Here is a 22,502-nt window from a genome sequence, read left to right on the forward strand (position 1 = left end):
TGATATTTATCTTTCTTTGCCACATAGAGTATCCTTTGTAGTATGTGAATACATCTGGATATTACCCTCCTGAAACCTCAAATTTTAGTTGTCTTGCTGTAGATTAGGCTGGTAAATTTGTCCTCATCTTCAATAAATGTGCTAAATCCTTCCTTTAGAAGATAAACCTTCTAGACTAAACTGTAAACAAATCCTTTTAAAAAAAAATCTCAAATCTTTTCCAGAATAAATCTAAGAATTCATTAAGGTTGTGCCTCAAATAAGAAATAAAAATATTACTTGGGTCTACATATATTTCAGCTTCTTCTAAGGAAGCCAATATCAACAAGGTCACATTTCTTTGTTCTTTCCATTGCTAGTTGAGGAAACAAAAATGAGTAAAAATGCTTAAGATACTCCTCGGAGTGTGCTTTGGGAAAACAACACAATCCATACCACATCCACATTTTGATTGATGTGCACAACCTGCTTTCATGTCCCTTAATCAGGGCAGTGCCCAGCTCCACCCATCTTTTTCCTCAATAGACAATGGGGTTACTCAAGCCAACTGGTGATTATGTATACATTTGGGGATTATGCATGCTGTATGTATCTTCAGCTGCTGCTGCTGCTTCAGAAAGGCTGAATATAAGTGATGATAAAATACCAAAGTTGGGGACAGGGCCAAGATGGCTGACTAGAAGGAGAGGTGATCAGAGGCTCCCATTGAAAAGATCCAAAACAGTGTGTGAATCCTGCAATGGCAACCGAGGTATCCAAGTTCTGTCACTAGGACTGACTAGGCACCTGAAATGACCCATGGAGAGGAAGGAAGACCAGTGTAGTGAGGTGGCACACCTGAGAGCCACATGGGGCAGGGGAGCCTCCACCCCAGCCAAGGGAGGCGGTGAGTGAGTGTGCTACCCAGCTTGGGAAACCACACTTTTTCAACGGAACTGTGCAACCCAAGGATTGGAAGATCCCACTCGTGAGTCCACGCCACCGGGTCCTTGGGTCCTAACCACAGAGCCATGCAGATTCTCAACAGCCACTGGGCTAGAATTGGCCTAAACCTGCTGAGTTCCCTGGGGGAGGAGCAGCCATCACCACTGCTGTGTCTGCCTGCTGTCTAAGCCATCTGAGCTCCTTGGGGGAGGGGCAGCAGCCAACCCTGAAGCTGCAGGGCCTCCATGTAGAAACTCCCACTCCAGCCAGGGTCTCAGGGACAGAACTCTGATCTCCATGGGCTTCAGTCCATAGCGGGAGAGGTGGTTGTAGTCTCTGCAGACCAACAGACTTGGTCTTTCCTCCTGCTAGCTCTGAGGAATTAAGGCAGCCCAGGTGAGTGGGTTTCCCCACAGTACAGCACACCCCCTTCACCAAGAGATAGCCAAAGTGCTTTGTTAAACAGGTCCTGCTTCCTGTGCCACCTAACTGAGTGAGACCTATTGCCAGACATCTTATACAGGAGCGTTCCTACTGGCATCAGGTTGATGCCTCTCAAGGTCAGAGATCCCGGAGGAAGGAGCAGGCACCCATCTTTGCTGTTCTCCAGCCTTCTCAAGTGACAGCTCCAGGTGCAGGAGTGAACCAGATGAATAGGGCCTGAAGTGAATGCCCAGCAAACGCAGCAGCCCAACAGAAGAGGGTCCTGACTATTGAAACAAAAACAAACAGAAAGCAACAACAGCAGCATCAACAAGAAAAAGTCCTCACAAAAACTTCATCCAAGGGTCAGCAGCCTCAAAGACAAAACTAGACAAACTCATGAGGATGAGAAAGAATCAACAACAAAAAAATACCCTGAAAACCCAAAACGCCAGAGTACTTCTCCTTCTCCAAATGATTGCAACACCTCTCCAGGAAGGGCACAGAACTGGACGGAGGATGAGATGAACGAATTGACAGAGGTAGGCTTCAGAAAGTGGGTAATAACAAACTTTGCTGAGGTAAAGGAGCAGGTTCTAACCCAATGCAAAGAAGCTAAGAACCTTGGTAAAAGTTTAGAGGAGTTGCTAACTATAATAATCAGTTTAGAGAGGAACATAACCTGATGGAGCTGAAAAACACAGCATGAGAACTTCGTGAAGTGTACACAAGTATCAATAGCTGAATCAATCAAGCAGAAGAAAGGATATCAGAGATGGAAGACTATTTTGCTGAAATAAGGCAGGCAGACAAGAATAGGGAAAAAAGAATGAAAAGGAATGAACAAAACCTCCAAGAAATATGGGACTATGTAAAAAGACCGAACCTACAACTGATTGGAGTACCTGAAAGAGATGGGGAGAATGGAACCAAGTTGGAAAACACACTGCAGGATATTATCCAGGAGAACTTCCTCAGCCTAGCAAGATAGGCCAACATCAAATTCAGGAAATACAGAGAACCCCACTATGATACTCCATGGGAAGATCAACCCCAAGACACATAATCATCAGATTCTCCAATGTCAAAATGACGGAGAAAATGTTAAGGGCAGCCAGAGAGAAAGGCCAGGTCACCTACAAAGGGAAGCCCATCAGACTAACTGGATCTCTCAGAAGAAATCCTACAAGCCAGAAGAGAGTGGGAGCCAATATTCAACATTCTAAAGGAAAATAATTTTCAGCCCAATATTTTATATCTGGCCAAACTAAGATTCATAAGTGAAGGAGAAATAAAATCCTTTACAGACAAGCAAGTGCTGAGGGAATTCATCACCACCAAGCCTGCCTTACAAAAGCTCCTGAAGGAAGCACTAAGTACGGAAAGGAAAAACCAGTACCAGCCACTGCAAAAACACATGAAAATATAAAGACCATGGCACTATGAAGAAACAGCATCAACTATGTGCAAAATAACCAGCTAGCATCATGATGACAGGATCAAATTAAATAATAATATTAACCTAACAATATTAATCTTAAATGTATATGTGATAAATGCCCCAATTAAAAGACACAAACTGGCAAATTGGACAAAGAGTCAAGACCCATTGGTGTGCTGTACTCAGGAGACCCATCTCATGTGCAAAGACACACAGAGACTCAAAATAAAGGGAAGAGATTTACTTGAGAACCAAAAAAATGGAAAGCAGAAAAAAGCAGGGGTTGCAATCCTAGCCTCTGACAAAACAGACTTTAAACTAACAAGGATCAAAAAAGACAAAGAAAGGCATTACATAATTGTAAAGGGATCTATTCAAAAGGAAGAGCTAACTATCCTAAATATATATGCACCCAACACAGGAGGACCCAGATTCATAAAACATGGTTTTAGGGACCTACGAAGAGACTTAGACTCCCACACAATAATAGTGGGAGACTTTAAAACCCCACTGTCAACATTAGACAGATCAACATGACAGAAAATTAACAAGAATATTAAGGACTTGAACTCAGTCCTGGATCAAGTGGATCTAATAGATATCAACAGAAATCTCCACCTCAACACAACAGAATATACATTCTTCTCAGTACCACATGACACTTACTCTAAAATCAACCACATAACTGGAAGTAAAACACTCCTCAGCAAATGCAAAAGAACTCAAATCATAACAAACAGTCTCTCAGATCACAGTGCAATCAGATTAGAACTCAGGATTAAGAAACTCACTCAAAACCACACAACTACATGGAAATTGAACAACCTGCTCCTGAATGACTCCTGGGTAAATCATGAAACTAAGGCAGAAATCAAGAAGTTCTTTGAAACCAATGAGATCAAAGGGACAATGTACCGGAATCTCTGGGGCACAGCTAAAGTAGTGTTAAGAGGGAAATTTATAACACGAAATGCCCACATTAGAAAGCTGGGAAGATCTCAAATAGATACTGTGACATTGCAATTAAAAGAGCTAGAGAAGCAAGAGCAAACAAACCCCAAAGCTAGCAGGAGACAAGAAATAACTAAGATCAGAGTGGAACTGAAGGAGTTAGATACACAAAAAAAACCCTTCAAAAAATCAATGAATCCAGGAACCGTTTTTTCTAAAAAAATTAATAAAATAGATAGTCTACTAGCTAGACTAATAAAAAAGAGAAGAGTAAAGAATCAAATAGACACAATAAAAAATGATAAAGGGGATATCACCACTGACCCCACAAGGATACTATGCCATAAGAGAATGCTATAAATACCTCTATGCAAATAAACTAGAAAATCTAGAAGAAAGGGATAAATTCCTGAACATACACCCTCCCAAGACTAAACCAGGAAGAAGTCGAATCCCTGAATAAACGAATAACAAGTTCTGGAATTGAGGCACTAATAAATAGCCTACAACCAAAAAAAGCCCAGGACAAGATGGATTCACAGCTGAATTCTACCAGCTGTACAAAGAGGAGCTGGTACCATTTTTTTAGAAACTATTCCAAACAATTGAAAAGGAGGAACTCCTCCCTAACTCATTTAATGAGATCAGTATCACCCTGATACCAAAACCTGGCAGAGACACAACAACAAAAAAAAAAACTTCAGGCTAATATCCCTGACGAACATCCATGCAAAAATCCTCAATAAAATACTGGCAAACTGAATCTAGTAGCACATCAAAAAACTTACCCACCATGATCAAGTCAGCTTTATCCCTGGGATGCAAGGCTGGTTTGACATATGCAAATCAATAAACGTAATCTATCACAGAAACAGAACCAATGACAAAAACCACATGATCATGTCAATAGATGCAGAAACAGCTTTCAATAAAATCGAGCATCACTTCACATTAAAAACTCTCAATAAACCTGGTATTGATAGAACATATCTCAAAATAATAAGAGCTATTTATGACAAACCTACAGCCAATATCATACTGAGTGGGCAAAAGCTGGAAGCATTCACTTTGAAAACCAGCACAAGACAAGGATGCCCTCTCTCACCACTTCTATTCAACATAGTATTGGAAGTTCTGGCCAGGGCAATCAGGCAAGAGAAAGAAATAAAAGATATTCAAATAGGAAGAGAGGAAGTCAAATTGTCTCTGTTTGCAGACAACATGACTCTATATTTAGAAAACCCCATCATCTCAGCCCCACAATTCTGTAAGCAGATAAGCAACCTCAGCAAAGTCTCAGGATACAAAATCAATGTGCAAAAATCACAAGCATTCCTATACCCCAACAACAGACAATCAGAGAGCCAAATCATGAATGAACTCCCATTCACAATTGCTACAAAGAGAATAGAATACCTAGAAATACACTAACAAGGGACACGATGGAACTCTTCAAGGAGAACTACAAACCACTTTCAAGAAAATAAAAGAGGACACAAACAAATGAAAAAACATTCCATCCTCATGGATAGGAAGAATCAATATCATAAAAATGGCCATACAGCCCAAAGTAACAGAGATTCAATGCTATTCCCATCAAACTACCACTGACATTCTTCACAGAATTAGAAAAAAACTACCTTAAAATTCATGTGAAACCAAAAAAGAGCCTGCATAGCCAAGATAATCTTAAGCAAAAATAACAAAGCTGGAGGCATCACGCTACCTGACTTCAAACTACACTGCAAGGCTACAGTTACCAAAACAGCATGGTACTAGTACCAAAATAGACATATAGACCAATGAAACAGAATAGAGACCTCAGAAATAAGATCACACATCTAAAACTATCTGATCTTCGACAAACCTGACAAAAACAAGCAATGGAGAAAGGATTCCCTAATTAATAAATGGTGCTAGGAAAACTGGCTAGCATATGCAGAAAACTGAAACTGGACCCATTCCTTACACCTTATACAAAAATTAACTCAAGATGGACTAAAGACTTAAATGTAAAACCCTAAACCATAAAAACCCTAGAAGAAAACCTAGGCAATACCATTCAGGACATAGGCATGGGCAAAGACTTCATGACAAAATTGCCACAAGCAATTGAAACAAAAGCTAAAATTAACAAATGGGATCTAATTAAACTAAAAGTCTTCTGCACAGCAAAAGAAACTATCATAAGAGCGAACAGGCAACCCATAGAATGGGAGAAAATTTTTGCAATCTACCCATTTGACAAAGGTCTAATACTTAGAATGTACAAGGAACTTAAACAAATTTACAAGAAAAAAACAAACCCTGTCAAAAAGTGGGCAAAGTATATGAACAGACACCTCAAAAGAAGACATTTATGTGGTCAACAAACATTTTTAAAAAGCTCAACGTCATTGATTATTAGATAAATGCAAATCAAAACCACAATGAGGTACCATCTCATGCCAGTCAGAATGGCAATTATTAAAATGTCAAGAAACAACAGATGCTAGCAAGGCTGTGGAGAAATGGGAATGCTTTTACACTGTTAGTATAAACAGTGTAAATATTGTTTCTACTATTTATAAATTAGTTCAACCATTGTGGAAGACAATGTGGTGATTCCCCAAGGATCTAGAACCAGAAATACCATTTGACCCAACAATCTCATTATTGGGTATATAATCAAAGGAATATAAATCATTCCAATATAAAGATACATTTACCTGTATGTTTATTGCAGCAGTATTCACAATAGCAAAGAGATGGAACCAACCAAATGCTCATCAATGATAAGCTGGATAAAGAAAATGTGGTAGTACACATCATGGAATATTATGCAGCCATAAAAAGGAGTGAGCTCATGTCCTTTGCAGGGACATGGATGAAGCTGGAAGCCATCATCCTCAACAAACTAACACAGGAACAGAAAACCAAACACTGCATGTTCTCACTCATAAGTGGGAGTTGAACAATGAGAACACATGGACACAGGGAGGGGGACAACACTCACCAGGTCCTGTCAGGTCATGGGGAAGGGGAAGGAGCGCATCAGGACAAACAGCTAATGCATGCAGGGCTTAAAACCTATGTGATGGGTTGACAGGTGCAGCAAACTACCATGGCAGAAATATACCGATCTAAAAACCTGCACATTCTGCACATGTATCCTGGAGCTTAAAGTAAAAAAAAAAAAAAAAAAAAAGAAAATGAAAATATCCTGGACATTTGTAAATATAAAGATGAAGCCTTGTGAGAGGATAGAGCTAAAGTTCTGAGAGGTATAAGCATAAAAATGTGAGTTCAAGATATGAGAAAATATTAAGTTACTGTGAGAAAGAGGAAGAGAACTAGGAAGAGAAACAGAAACAGATAAGATGTAGAGGTAGGAGCATAACTAGGAAAATCTAGTGCCATTGCAGGCAAGAGGAGGGGTTTTCAGATGATGGTACACCATGTCAGATAATTCATATAATCGATGTCAAAAAATATCACTTACAAAAGACCTTTAAATTTGGCAGTTGGGACATTATTAATGACCTCATGCAAACCTCAATGGTGAAGTATTTACAACTACTCACATAACATTCTCTTCTACATAGACAAGTTGGAGGGGAAAAAAGGTAATTTTTTATTCTTTCAGTGAAAGGAAAAATATTCAAAAGTTATCTGAGTGAAGAAAAAAAAGGAGACCTGAGAAGGCCATTCAAGATTTGCCCTAATCTGCCTTCCTTAGGAAGCTTGCCCTGATACCCCCAGAGATGCCAAGGTGCCTGTTCTCCAGGGACCTTATGTCCATGACTAACTGGAACAGACTGGACTCAGTGCCTCAGAGCCAGGGCCTGGGGCTCTTGCCTCTCTATTGATCTAGCATGGTGTCTGACCCAGAGGAGCACATTAAATATTTATGTAATAAATAAATGAATGAAATGTCTATGGATTGGAATGGGGGAACAGGAGGTGTTGATACTTTTTGGCAAAGCCCGGTGAGTCATATGAAAACCTCTTTAATTATAATATATTCACTTTGTGAGGATTGTTACACTTGCTCAAATTTGATAGGCACTTTTATGAAAGATTTTTATTCCTATTCACACACACACAAAACCCCCCACACATCAGTACTGTCAAGACTGACCAGTCTATTTTCCCCTTTAACTGGCAGCATTCATATTCACTTTATTGTGTGAAATAACATTGTTTCCTCTTCCCTTTATCTTGCTTATGTCTGACCTTCCATTAAAAGTTGCTTAGAAACTGCTTAGCAAATAGTCAGGGTGCTCCTCACTGACATCTTCCTTTTGTGACCTGTCAGCTATTCTGTTGGTCCATTCCCTCTCCATAAGCGTTTTTAGGCTTCTTTTTATCTCCTTTCAACAAACAAGACTAAAGCTCAACATTTTCCCTCCATTGAAAGGAAACATCCACTGCCTCTAAAGCTTTGCTGCATGCAAGCAGCCTTCATACACCTGCCAGTTAAGAGGAGAGTAGATTGGCAAAGCTTCCATGGGCTTTTGATTTTTATTAATGGTTTTGCACAGTGTGCTAAGCAAGCCATAAGTTAAAAAAAAAAACGCTCAAAATACAAATTCCATGATGCTCACTGAAATCAACTAGAGTTGGAGGACATGAAATAAGAGGTCATGGGCTTCCTTTCACACAAAAAACAGTGCATAATCCACACTATCCTGTGAATATAAGGCACTTTAGGATGTTAAAATAGAATTCTACCGTACCCAAGGAAAGGCTCTCCCCAGAATTACAGTTTACACTGTAAATACAATTTGCACAACAACAAATCCCTCCTCTGTGTTTCTCAGTATTTCTCCTGATGTAACTGATCACATCGAACTACATGCCAAGGACAATCCTGAAAAGGAAAACAATTCAAAGCAATCTTTATTATATGCCTATTATGGGTTAAATAATATCCTAGAGTCTCGCCAGTAGGTTGTGGTGGTAAGGGGGAAATGGAATAAGAAATAAGAAAGGCACAGTGTCTGCCCTCAAGAAATTTACAGTTATGAGTGAGGAGGGGAATAGAAGTATGTTGCATAATTCTACAATCCTTTCTGTGTTGAGCTGGCTCTATGGACAAAGTACTACAGTGGCAGTGGGAACAGCTAGACAAATTCTGCCTAAAAAGGGGAAGAGAAAGCAGAGGGGGTTAGAGAAAACCTCACATAGATGAATTCAAACTAAGCTTGCACAAAGGGGGTCATATTAGGTGAAAGACACCATAGAGACCTGAGAGGTGTCTATGGAAGAATAGAGGACAAGACCATATTTTTCCTTGAGATTGGAACATGAGAGTAGTACTATTGAGTTGGTTGTTAGCTTCTGACCCAGTCACCTAAGCTAACTTTTCCCTCCCCTACTGCCTGCCTTGCTCAATGGTATTGTGGGCCCTGGGGAAGCTACTCGTATTATATATTCATATATAAGATATGTTATATATAAATACATATAAATATATATTTATACATATAATACATTATAGAAGTCGTAAGTTAAAAAATGAAACTACAAAATTCACGTGTGTGTGTGGTGTGTGTGGTGTGTATGTTTCTGATATTTTCTGGCCATAAACCAGGACAAATAATAATACTGAGACTTTTTTTCAGACTTGCAAGATTATTTTTATGAAAATCTGTAGGGATATTATTAAGCAAGCACATGCTACATACTATCCTCATTGTAAGGATCGTAGGAAGAAATTTCTTCCTGATTTTAGTATTAGGAATGGTTGTGCTTCCCTTGAGCACCTAGGCACTGACTTAAATTTTCCCATTGACTGCTCATAAGTTTTGCATCAACACTGTGTCACATAGTAGCAAGTATACAAAGTCTGCTCCTATATATTGTTGTGCTAGACACAATCCTGGCTGTACTTTAAAATTGTATATCCCTATACTTGCTTGTTCTTTTCTTTCTTATTAATCATAATTTTGTGTAATTTTCTATTTTATATATCCTTTAAATCTTTTTTGGAAACATATAGATGAGAAACATGAAAATAAAATAAATATATTTAAAAGTAGATGGATTTAATAAATCTTGTTTACTGAAAATAATCATTCAATTATTTAATTTCCCAGGAAAACTAAAGAGGTAACTTTTGGTTTAAGCCCAGCTGCTGACAGATGAGTACTTTACATTCTTGTTACTGCTTTGTTATTACCCTTATATAAGTGAAACTGGAAATTCAAGGTTAAAAGTTGACTTTCCATGCCTGTAATTCCAAGTTACTACCACATATAATATTAAACAGAACTTTAAAGCATTAGATAATCATAAGAACAATGATCTGAAGAGAGTATTCAGCAATCTGGCTGAGAAAATTAGTGTCTTTGAAAAGCCCTGCTATTTTTTAAAAATTCTGAATACTGTACTCCATAGAAATTAATGCTTGGGAGACAGTTTCCACTATATTTTTTATCATGTATTAATGTTCTGCCATTTTGTCAAGTCCAGGCTTATACTTGACATTTGTCTCTTTTAAATTGAAAACAAATGTTACATAAGTTTGGAAGAACACAGCATTTCCCAGAATGAAATGATTTTTCAAAAAATGCTTATGCTTTGATTGAAAGTCCTGCTTTTTCCACAGAAACAAAAAAAGTCCATTTGCCTCTCAGTTTTTTTCTCCTCTTTTGTTTGCCCACTTTCAGAATAGTCACACATCAAGAAATTGGAGCTCTCCATAATGTCCAGAATCAGAAGCCGAAGAGTTTCTGTGCAGAGCTAACCTCTATATACAAATTGCCAGTGTTTTCAATTTCCTTCACTTTCTTGCTGAAAAAGAGAAGGAAACAGCTATTCATTAAGCACCTACCACATGGCAGGTGTTTTTCTGAGTGCTTTGTGTACATTATCTCCCTTAATCCTCATAGTAACCCTATGAGGAAGACAGTTTTATCCTCATTTTATAGCTCAGGAAACTGAAGCTCAGGGAGGATAAGTAACTTGCCCTGGGTCACCCAGCCACTGGATGGATTATTACCTTGGGCCTATCTTACTGCAAAGCACTTCGGCCCTTACACAAAACATGCCACCTCCCACCTTGCACATGGCTTGCAAGACCTTTTCTATTTTCACTCTGATGTTTTAACCTTGCTTATAGATTTTCATTTTGAGCTATATAAATCTTCTACTAAGGTCCTTTTAGTTGAGTTTCAGGTTCCTTTTATTTATTCTAAAACATTTTTATTTCTGGGTAAGCAGGGTAATTTTTCCTTATAGTAAATTTTAGATCACATTGTTATTATGAAAATACATTTCAAGGATCATTGTAACCTAATTTAAAAATTAAGTTATTAACAAAAACTAGCATTAGCATCAAATTAAGAAAAAAAATACATAGCAACAACAACATATTGAGAGTTTTTTCTCTTTTATTCTCCGTTTCTGGGAGTCTATTGCTACATAACAAATTATAGTCATGCACCTTTTGGTCAACAACAGACTGCATATACAATGGTGGTTCCATTAGAATATAATATCATATTTTTACTGTACCTTTTCTATGTTTAGATATGTTTAGCTACACATATATTACCATTGTGTTACCATTGCCTACGGTATACAGTAAAGTAGCATGCTACACAGGTTTGAAGCCTAGCAGCAATAGGCTACATCATATAGGTTAGGTGTGTAGTAGGCTATACCATCCAGGTTTGTGTAAATACATCCTGTGATGTTTGCACATCCTAACAACACATTTCTCAGGATGTGTCCCCATCATTAAGCAACACATGGCTGTACTACAAAAGTTAGCAATGTGAAGCAATAACAATTTTATTATATCACATAATTTTTGTGAGTCAAAAATTTGAGTAGGGCTTAGCAGGCCCACTTTTCTGTTCTATATGGCTTGGATTAAAGTCACTGGCTAGTGCTCAGCTGGCTGATTGGCTGACTTGGAGAGTCCAAGGCAGCTTCACTCAAGTCTGTGTCTTGGGATGGCTGGAAAGCTGGGCTCAGCTGGGATTGTCCACGGAAGCATCTACACTAGCTTCCTGCACATGGTGATTTCAGTGTCATCAGGCTTCCTACACAGTGGGTCAGGGCTTCCAGAGAAAGTTTCTCAAGAGTTAAAAAGTGAACTGGTCCTGGAGACTAGCACAGCACTGCTTCTGCTATATTCTGTTGTTTAGTTGGGAAGAAAAGGTACCCTACTCCTGGATGGAAGGAGCGTCAAAAGATTTTGTAGCTAACTTTATCACAACCATATTTTCTGTATAAAATATATATTCTAAGAGGCTGATTATATAATACAAACTTTAAATTTATCCATTGATAGGCAATATTGTAAAAGCTTTATTGGAGGGTTAGCCTAATAAAAGGTATTAGAATTGTCAATTAAACAAGACAAAAAACATTAAAATCAAAACAAAAATCTCATGAGAGTAAAAATATTCTCCAATGTCCAGTTTAGTGCAGCTTGAAGAAACAGTAAATAAAACTCTTTGTGTCTTATTAAACATCATGATTCTTGTGCTAGTTGTTTATTTCTATTTTCTTTCTCTAAGGTAGAAGATGATTTACAAACCAAATATTAGCCTTGAGTGGCTTCTACGTAAAATTGGCAAAAATTCTAGTTCCCTAAGCATGAAGTTTAGTTTATTTATTTATTTATTTAAAATTTTCTTTAAAATTATACTTTAAGCTCTGGGGTACATGTGCAGACTCTGCAGTTTTGTTACATAGGTTTACATGTGCCATGGTGGTTTGCTGCACCCATCAACCCGTCACCTATATCAGTTATTTCTCCTAATGCTATCCCATCTCTAGCCCCCTACCTCCCTACAGGCCTGAGTGTGTGATGTTCCCCTCACTGTGTCCACATGTTCTCATTGTTCAAGTACCACTTATGAGTGAGAACATGCGGTGTTTGGTTTTCTGTTCTTGTGTTAGTTTGCTGAGAATGATGATTTCCAGCTTCATCCATGTCCCTGCAAAGGACATGAACTTATCCATTTTTATGGCTGCATAATATTCCATGGTGTATATGTGTCACATTTTCTTTAACCAGTCTATCATTGATGGATACTTGGGTTGGTTCCAAGTCTTTGCTATTGTGAATAGTGCCACAATAAACATATGTGTGCATGTGTCTTTATAGTAGAATGATTTATAATCCTTTGGACATATACCCAGTAATGGGATTGCTGGGTCAAATGGTATTTCCAGTTCTAGATCCTTGATGAATCACAACACTGTCTTTCACAATGATTGAACTAATTTACACTACCACCAACTGTGTAAAAGTGTTCCTATTTCTCCACATCCTCTCCAGCATCTCGTTTCCTGAGTTTTTAATGATTGCCATTCTAACTGCCATGAGATGATATCTCATTGTGGTTTGATTTGTATTTCTCTAATGACCAGTGATGATGAGCATTTTTTCATATGTTTGTTGGCTGCATAAATGTCTTCTTTTGAGAAGTGTTTGTTCATTTCCTTTGCACACTTTTTGATGGGATTTTTTTTCTTTAAATTTGTTTAAGTTCTTTGTAGATTCTGGAAATCAGCCCTTTGCCAGATGGATAGATTGCAAAAATTTGCTCACATTCTGTAGGTTCCTGTTCACTCTGATGAGAGTTTCTTTTGCTGTGCAGAAACTCTTTAGTTTAATTAGATCCCATTTGTCAATTTTGGCTTTTGTTGCCATTGCTTTTGGTGTTTTACACATGAAGTCTTTGCCCATGCCTATGTCCTGAATGGTATTGCCTAGGTTTTCTTCTAGGATTTTTATGGTTTTAGGTCTTAAGTTTGAGTCTTTAATCCATCTTGAGTTAATTTTTGTATAAGGTGCAAGGAAGGGATCCAGTTTCAGTTTTCTGCATATGGCTAGCCAGTTTTCCCAATACCATTGATTACATAGAGAATCCTTTCCCCACTGCTTGTTTTTGTCAGGTTTGTCAAAGATCAGATAGTTGTAGATGTGTGGTGTTATTTCTGAGGACTCTGTTTTATTCCATTGGTCTATATGTCTATTTTGGTACCAGTACCATGCTGTTTTGGTCACCGTAGCCTTGTAGTATAGTTTGAAGTCAGGTAGCGTGATGTCTCTGGCTTTGTTCTTTTTGCATAAGATTGTCTTGGCTATGAGGGCTCTTTTTTGTTTCCATATGAAGTTTAAAGTAGTTTTTTTCCAATTCTGTGCAGAAAGTCAATGGTAGCTTGATGGGGATAGCAGTGAATCTATAAATTACTTTGGGCATTATGGCCATTTTCACAATATTGATTCTTCCTATCCATGAGCATGGAATGTTTTTCCATTTTTTTGTGTCCTCTTTTATTTCCTTGAGCAGCGGTTTGTACTGCTGAATTCTACCAGAGGTACAAAGAGGAGCTGGTACCACTCCTTCTGAAACTATTCCAAACAACAGAAAAAGAGGGAATCCTTCCTAACTCATTTTATGAGGCCAGCATCATCCTGATACCAAAACCTGGCAGGGACTCAATAAAAAAGAAAATTTCAGGCCAGTATCCCTGATGAACATCAATGCAAAAATCCTCAATAAAATACTGACAAACTGAATCCAGCAGCACATCAAAAAGCTTATTCACCATAATCAAATCAGCTTCATACCTGGGAGGCAAGGCTGGTTTAACATATGCAAATCAATAAACGTAATCCATCACATAAACAGAACCAACGACGAAAACCACATGATTATCTCAATAGATGCAGAAAATGCCTTCGACAAAATTCAACAGCCCTTCATGCTAAAAACTCACAATAAAGTAGGTATTGATGTGATGTATCTCAAAATAACAAGAGCTATTTATGACAAACCCACAGCCAATATCATACTGAATGGGCAAAAACTGGAAGCATTCCCTTTGAAAACCAGCACAAGACAGGGATGCCCTCTCTCACCACTCCTATTCAACATAGTATTGGAAGTTCTGGCCAGGGCAATCAGGCAAGAGAAAGAAATAAAAGGTATTCAAATAGGAAAGGAAGAAGTCAAATTGTCTCTGTTTACAGATGACATGATCATGTATTTAGAAAACCCCATCTTCTCAGCCCAAAATCTCCTTAAGCTGATAAGCAACTTCAGCAAAGTCTCAGGATACAAAATCAATGTGCAAAAATCACAAGCATTCCTATATACCAGCAACAGACAAACAGAGAGCCAAATCATGGGTGAACTCCCATTCACGATTGCTACAAAGAGAATAAAATACATAGGAATATGACTTACAAGGGATGTGAAGTTTATTTTTAAAATCTTTTGGTGTTCTCTCAAAGGCTGCTGGCTTTGAGCAAAAGTTTCTTCCCCCTTCTACAGTAATAGGCTTGGTTGCATATGTGACAGTCTAGGTCTGAGGTTGGCAGGATGTCTGTCTGTTTTGTACATGAAGTTTAATTAAAGCAGTCATAACTATTCTTTGACTGTTGTGTATAACTGCTTTTATACTACAATAGTAGAGTCTGGCTACAAAGTCTAAAATATTTACCACTGGGTCCTCAACAGAAAAAGTTTGTTGACCACTGGTCTAGGTCTCAAGTTCCCAGCCTCCTTTGTAGTTAAGTCTGGCAATGGAACTAATACCTTGCCAATGAGTGGAAGTGGTATGCCACTTAAGTTTGGCTTCTTGGGACAATGGAGAGCCCTTCTCTCACCATCTACAACCCAATGTGACAGCAACTTAGTTTCCCCCCATGCAAACAAGGACAATGTCCTAAGGGATGGCAGAAAAATAAAATGAGAATAACCTTGTTCTCCGGATGACTACGTGGAGCATAATGATCCACCAATTCGGATCACCCTCCCTGAATTTTCACATGAAAAGTAAACTATCAACTTTAAACCACTGAAATAGTGTTAGTTTCTTTATTAAAGCAGTCGAGTCTTAATCTAAGATAGCTTCACAATTTCAACTACTAGTAAAATATGTAAATTATCATTTAAGTTGATCAAAACCAGAGGTCATTAAATCCAGAAAAGAAGTTCCATCTAATTCATCGTTTTCATATGTCATGTAAGGGTAGTTAGGGATTGTTTGTCTTCAGTAAATGGTCTACAGAAGAAAAAAAGCATGAAAATCAAAATTGTAATGAAACTGTACTCTGTGCCCCACAACATTACAGATCAGATTAACATCTGTCCCTTCCAGCTACTTTATGAATATGAAGGCAAAACAGACATCCAAGGAGAATCTGCTTAGGCATTTACAACAATTTGATTCTATCAGCTTCAATGCCTTAACACTAAATTTGTGTATTCTTTTCATCTTTTTACATAAGATTAAGGAATCCATATCATCTATGGCTAACTAGAATGATGGTGACACAGGAAATAAGTTATATATTGATCATTTGTGCAAATAATATTGACATCCAACTACTATAGCCCAAGGGTTAAAGTCAAAAAGTCAACTCCAAATGTATGCTGAGATGGCATGCATCCCATGCTTCCTCTGTCTAATTTTTTTTGCTTATAATGATTTAATACATAAATTATACCTCTATTTCCCATTCTTGGTTTCATGCATTGTTCTTTTGGGGGATTGAATAAACACCAGAGAGATAAACATATAAATAGATCCTCAGATATCCACCATCAAATTTAAATGGTTAACCAATAATTAAGAGTTCCAAACGGAACTCAGAAGCCTTGCTCGGTAAGTCAGGAAGAGTCTGGGCAACCTTGTGCTCTGGGGACTTTATGCTTTGTACCTTTATTGTTAGATTTGTACACCATTTCCTTGAATGCCAAATTTAGGCATCCTTCCTAATTAATGATCTTTTCAAGCCCTTTTCAGAAGCCATTGGATTTTGATTAGGTCACAAAGGAAGGCTTTCTCTCTTAGGCACATAGTTTTCTGTATCCTTAGCAGTTAATTGAGTAGCAGAATAATGGTTTCCTTACAGAAAGGCTCGCAGACTGCACAGAGAGGTTGATGCCTCTTTAGTCACTGGGAACTTCAGTGACATTCAATAATGGTTGATAAATTTAAGCCCAGAATTAGAGACCAAGTTAATGTATTTGGACATATCTCAAGCTGATGTTTCCTAAGCAGCTGGCTCAGTGAAAGGATATGGAGGCTGGCTCTAGGCCTCTGCTTTCTTTCTGGGTGAATTTTCCATTACACTCCTATTCCTATACCTCACTGCTACATAGAAGGAACCAGAAATAGCTACTCCTTCTAGAAATTAGATAGTTTTCATTTATACAGAGCAAACTTTTCTGTGTAAAGTGCAAGGGTTCCCAAATTTGGGCAGAAAAATTGTGTGTGTGTGTGTGTGTGTGTGTGTGTGTGTGTGTGTATTCCTCTCCTTACCCAATTATAGCTAAAACCATGGTTTATTATTTGCTGATCTTTCAAGCAGAGTGAAAGAAGAAGCAATAGTCTCTTCTTTTAATTTTAGTCATCTATGTTGACTTTCCCACCTGGTAAAAAATATAGGGGACCACTTAGCCCTAAGCCACATAGAAAAATTATCCACAAAACAGATTAGCATTTCTATGGAAAACATACAGAAATAATTAAAATCAAGGAAAAGGTAATCAATTCAAATATTTAATTTTTGAGAATGATAAGAGAAAAATGAAATTGTTCTCTAATATCATAGAAGTCATCCCAGTATTTGTGTTCACTAGGTCATAGGGATCAAAGAGGTCCAGTATCTCTCTGATGTATAATTCAGACAATATGAGAAGTCCCTGACCAGGGCAAGGCCCTTTCTCTCTTCTCTCTCTCTCTCTTTCTCTCTCTCTGTGTGTGCATATACATATATATACACACACATATATATGTATATCTGTATTACAATGCCTATGTGTATATATATATGTCTGTATTACAGTGCATATATATATAAAATCCCTGGTCTGTCACTAAACTCCACTAGAATAACAATAAAAGAACAATAAGAGGTATTTAAAACATTAATTCCTACATATGAATAGTTAAGACACTTAGATCGAAAATAGGTGTAAAAGTCCCCACTGTCTTATCAGAGTTGAGAAAGCTAACTGAGGCGCTGAGAGTGGGAGGCAGGTGGACTGTAAGCCCATGAAAATTTCTGGGCTTCAAAGACTGATAAAATCACCACAGTGAGTGGTGGAGTTGAAAATGGAAGAATTTGGTTAAATATTTGTGTCAGTAGCATTTGGACTCAGTCCCTGCCTTGCCAACGAAACATCCTAGTATCTGTCCTTTTCTACTCTCGCAAGAGAAGAGATTTTATTTGGTAGAGACTTGAAACAGGAATTCTCTCCCTTACTGAAAAAGAATAGGATTAAGTAAAGCTTCAGTATCCCCAGGGAAATTAACAAAGCTATTGAAAACATAAAATCAGAACAAAATATCATTAAAAACACAGAGAAGAGTATCAACATTTCTCTCTTCAAGGAAATACTTGGTTTTTTAAAAATTTGTATACGTTTTTCCCCAAAAAGGTGCGAGAGTATTATAAATAAAATACTTTCAATCATGGTTATAACAGTTTTATTAATAAGTGTTTATATTTTCAATACACAAGTTAATAAGTTCACTGTAAATACTTAACCTTTATGAATTTATGAATTTACTAATTTATTAATTAAATTATAAATATTTTAAGGCTCATTATTTTTCAAAACCTTTTAAGAGGTATTTAAGCACAAACATGTATTGCAGTGCTAATCCTCATAGGTGATGAAATGGCTGACTTAACAGAAAGTTGCTTACATTTTTGATAATTGCCTGAAGTTAGTCTCAAAGAGACTGAACAATAGTGAGACAAGAGCAATTTTTACTGAGTAAGTTCTTTCGGTTTTCAGAGAAACAAGCAAAATCCACCAAAATCATCTTAACTCTTTCTAAAATTCCTTTTGAGATTGATTTCTTATTTTATTTCAGAAAAGCTGTAGGATTATCAAGGAAAAAAGTGACATTTGAGAAGCTCTAAAAGGGTGAGTAGATTTTTTTATCTGTAACATTGAAAGAGGGAATAATATTCTAACAGGCACAAACATCGTGAAATCATTGAGCTAGCTAAGTATAATGTGGTTGGTATCCTAACATGTGTTATATTTTACTCAGACAGCATCCATTCCACATCCTCCCACTCCCGATTTCCATTTAAACAAGTACCCATCCCATTTTATATCATCATTGTGGGATAGTGAATCTAGGTGTTTGCCATCCCAGAACAAAATCCAAAGGAGTCCTAGATCCCATCTCTACCAGGTTCCATCTCTTGTCAACACAAATCAGCATAAGAGTAGGAATGAGACCCAAGCTTGACCAGCCAATGGGTAATTGCAGTCATTAGGGTTTTGGAGTAAAACCATGCACCCATTAGCTATTAACCATTCTCCTATTTCAAAATAATTGCTGGCTGACTCCAGGCCTGTGGCAGAGACTGAATCCATGAACAGAGTACATAAGACAATCATGACACCCAAGATAGTCATCATGAATTTGGGGTTTTCTGGTTCACTGTTGCCACAGGGCCCATTATCAGTGCTTTTCACTGACCTGTACAATAAGGCAATTTGTGCTTTGGCATACCCAGTGCCCAGCACAATATTTGACATTTAAAAGGCACTCAATAAAAATATAATTGAAATAAATTCATGAAACTCTCAATAACAGTATTATTTATTAATAAATTTGAAAAAATGCTGAATGGATTATTAGTATCCTTTCATTAACAAATATGCAGATGTCATTACATCTTTGACTTTTGGTCTAAATCTTTTAACTAGACTTTCTGTAACAGGTATTAAATTTTAAGAAATCAATATTCACTCATTTTGAGTATTTATTATGTGTCAAGTATAAGATACTAAAGAACAGTAACTATCCAACCTAAATTTAATGATGATTTAGACTTGCTCTGTAGCTAATATTTCAAGTTTAAATCTTGTATTGCAGAGAAAAAGGCTAGAACGAAGGGAAAATGTTGAATCCATTGACCTTGAGTAAAATTTCCCAATTTTATACCAAGCATATAATGGTGCTGACCTGAGTTGGAAATGCCTGAGATAGCTTCCTTGTCCATTTTCCCTTAACACAAGGTTACTAAGCAACATCTTCACATAAAACAAAATACGTGGGATCAGATTGTGCCCACAACTCCTGGCAAAGACTGCAATATGTAATAATGTTGAATTGTGCTTTTCACTGATGTTATACAATATAAGAATTTCTTTTCAAGACATTTCAAGGTGACTCTACTTCTGTATGTCTAAGTCAGTTAATTCATCTCAGAAAGACATCTATTCTACCACTGAAATATTTCTTAGTAGGCTCGTGTAACATGGTCAGACAGTGAAAAACTGAGGGTGCTTACACAGGAGACTAGAGAGAAGAGGAGGGTAGAAAAAAGGGGACAAATGAATGTTGAGGACAGCTTCATGCCAAGGACTGCGTATTAATTATTTCAGGTGATTCTCATAGAAATTCTGTGTAGTGGGTATTATTATTTCTTACAGATGAGAGAAAACAGAAGTTAGAAGTCACTAAACTGGATCGAGATTATACTAGGCCTTAGGGGAAAAGTATCTTCTATTTACTGTATTTCAACATTAAAATATAATTATCTTTATATATTTATTAAGCATTGTGATGGATTGCATTATTTTTATACACATTTGTATCCACATCTCTTAGTAGTGCCATTAATAACTACTTAGTAGTAGCTTGGCCAGTATTTGCTTTAGCCATGAGAAAGTACAAACGCAATGCAAGCAGAGGTTTGAAAATCACTTGCATATTTCCTCTTTGGCCACCTGCTAGCACCACAAAAACAAAGTTAGACTCACATGAAACTGCCTGAAGTAGTGCAAAGTCATCCTAGACAAATCCACAGGGCAGTCGGCCCCAACCAACCAATCAGCAGAATCATAAGCAAGGCCAGCCAGGATCAGCAGAACTCTTCAGACAAACTGTAGATTTAGAAGAAATATTAAATCATCATTGCTTTAAGCCCCTAAGTTCTGGAGTGTTCTGTTAAGGAACAATAGCCAACTAATATAAGAATCCACACTATATAACATACTTTTCAATTAGTGCACATAGAAAATTATACAGACATGGTATTTATTTTCAGTCACATCACTGAACAGCGTGGAACACCTACAGAATGGGAGAAAATGTTTGCAATCGATCCATCTTACAAAGATCTACAAGGAACTTAAATTTACAAGAAAAAAAAACCCATTAAAAAGTGAGCAAAGGATATAAACAGACACTTCCCAAAAAAAGACATACATGTAACTAATAAACATATGAAAAATAAGCTCCATATCACTGTTCATTAGAGAAATACAAATCAAAACCACAATGAGATACCATCTCTTGACTGTCAGAATGGCCATTATTAAACGTCAAAACCAATAGATGCCAGCAAGGTTGCGGAAAAAAAAAGGAATGCTTTTACACTGTTTTTGGGAGTGTAAATGAGTTCAACCATTGTGGAAGACAGTGTGGTGATTCCTCAAATACCTAGAGGCAGAAATACCATTTGACCCAGCAATCCCATTACTGTGTATATAACAAAGGAATATAAATCATTCTATTGTAAAGATACATGAACACATATGTTCATTGCAGCACTGTTCACAATAGCAAAGATGTGGAATCAACCCAAATGATAGACTGGATAAAGAAAATGTGGTACATATACACCATGGAATACTATGCAGCCATAAAAAGGGACAAGTCCTTTGCAGTGACTTGGATGGAGCTGGAAGCCATTATTCTCATCAAACTAATTCAGGAACAGAAAACCAAACACTGCATGTTCTCCCTTATAAGTTAGAGCTGAACAATGAGAATACGTGGGCACATTGCAGAGAAAAACATGCATTGGAGCCTGTTGGGGCAAGTGGAGGGAGAACATCAGGAAGAACAGATAACTGATGCTGGGCTTAATACCTAGGTGATGGCATGATCTGTGCAGCAAACCACTATCGCACATGTTTACCTTTGTTAACAAATCTGCATATCCTGTACATGTACCCCTGAACTTAAAATAAAAGTTGAAGAAAAAAAAGAATGGAACATTATTTCCCATAAAATATTTAAAAGTAGAAGAAACAATATAAATGTATATTTATATGTATGTATGTGCACATATGTACATACTTAATGTATTTGGGGATTAATATTTATAATCATCATCTTTCCAAACACTTAATGTGTTCTTGCTATGTTCCAGGACAAAAGATAGGCATTAAGGATGAATAAAGCAAAGACCCTTCCCTCAGCAAGCTCATAGTCAAATAGTGGAGACATACATGTCCACAGTTGCAAAAGAGTATAAATGCTAAAAGACATATACTCAAGGCAATATTGGAGCCCAAATGTAAATAGGATCAATTTTGCCTGCAAAGATGAGGAGCTTCACCAAGGAGATAGTCTGCAATAGGTACTGAAGGATTTATTAGTCAGGGTTCTCCAGGGGGACAGAACTAATGGAATGAATATATATATATATTTTCCATATATATTGTATATTTGATATATACAATATATGGAATATATATGGAATATTATATATTATATATATTATATGGAATATACATATAATGGAATACATATATAATGGAATACACACACATATATGTATATAAATACATATGTATATACGTATGTATATAAATACATATGTATATACGTATGTATATGTATACATATATACGTATATACATGTATATACGTATGTATATGTATACATATATACATATATACATGTATATACGTATGTATGTATATGTATACATACATATACATATACATGCATATACGTATGTATGTATATACATATATA

General features: G+C 37.1%; 2 annotated features.

The window, feature by feature from the left end:
• Positions 520-1,058: an enhancer, noted in NCBI's record as "H3K27ac-H3K4me1 hESC enhancer chr6:117431508-117432046 (GRCh37/hg19 assembly coordinates)". NCBI's record gives its function as "activates a minimal SCP1, AML or CMV promoter by ChIP-STARR-seq in naive H9 embryonic stem cells {active_cell/tissue: H9 hESC(naive)}" and the evidence as "EXISTENCE:reporter gene assay evidence [ECO:0000049][PMID:30033119]".
• Positions 1,059-1,595: an enhancer, noted in NCBI's record as "H3K27ac-H3K4me1 hESC enhancer chr6:117432047-117432583 (GRCh37/hg19 assembly coordinates)". NCBI's record gives its function as "activates a minimal SCP1, AML or CMV promoter by ChIP-STARR-seq in naive H9 embryonic stem cells {active_cell/tissue: H9 hESC(naive)}" and the evidence as "EXISTENCE:reporter gene assay evidence [ECO:0000049][PMID:30033119]".

This window comes from Homo sapiens, chromosome 6 (genome assembly GCF_000001405.40).
Source record: "Homo sapiens chromosome 6, GRCh38.p14 Primary Assembly".
Classification (NCBI taxonomy): domain Eukaryota; kingdom Metazoa; phylum Chordata; class Mammalia; order Primates; family Hominidae; genus Homo; species Homo sapiens.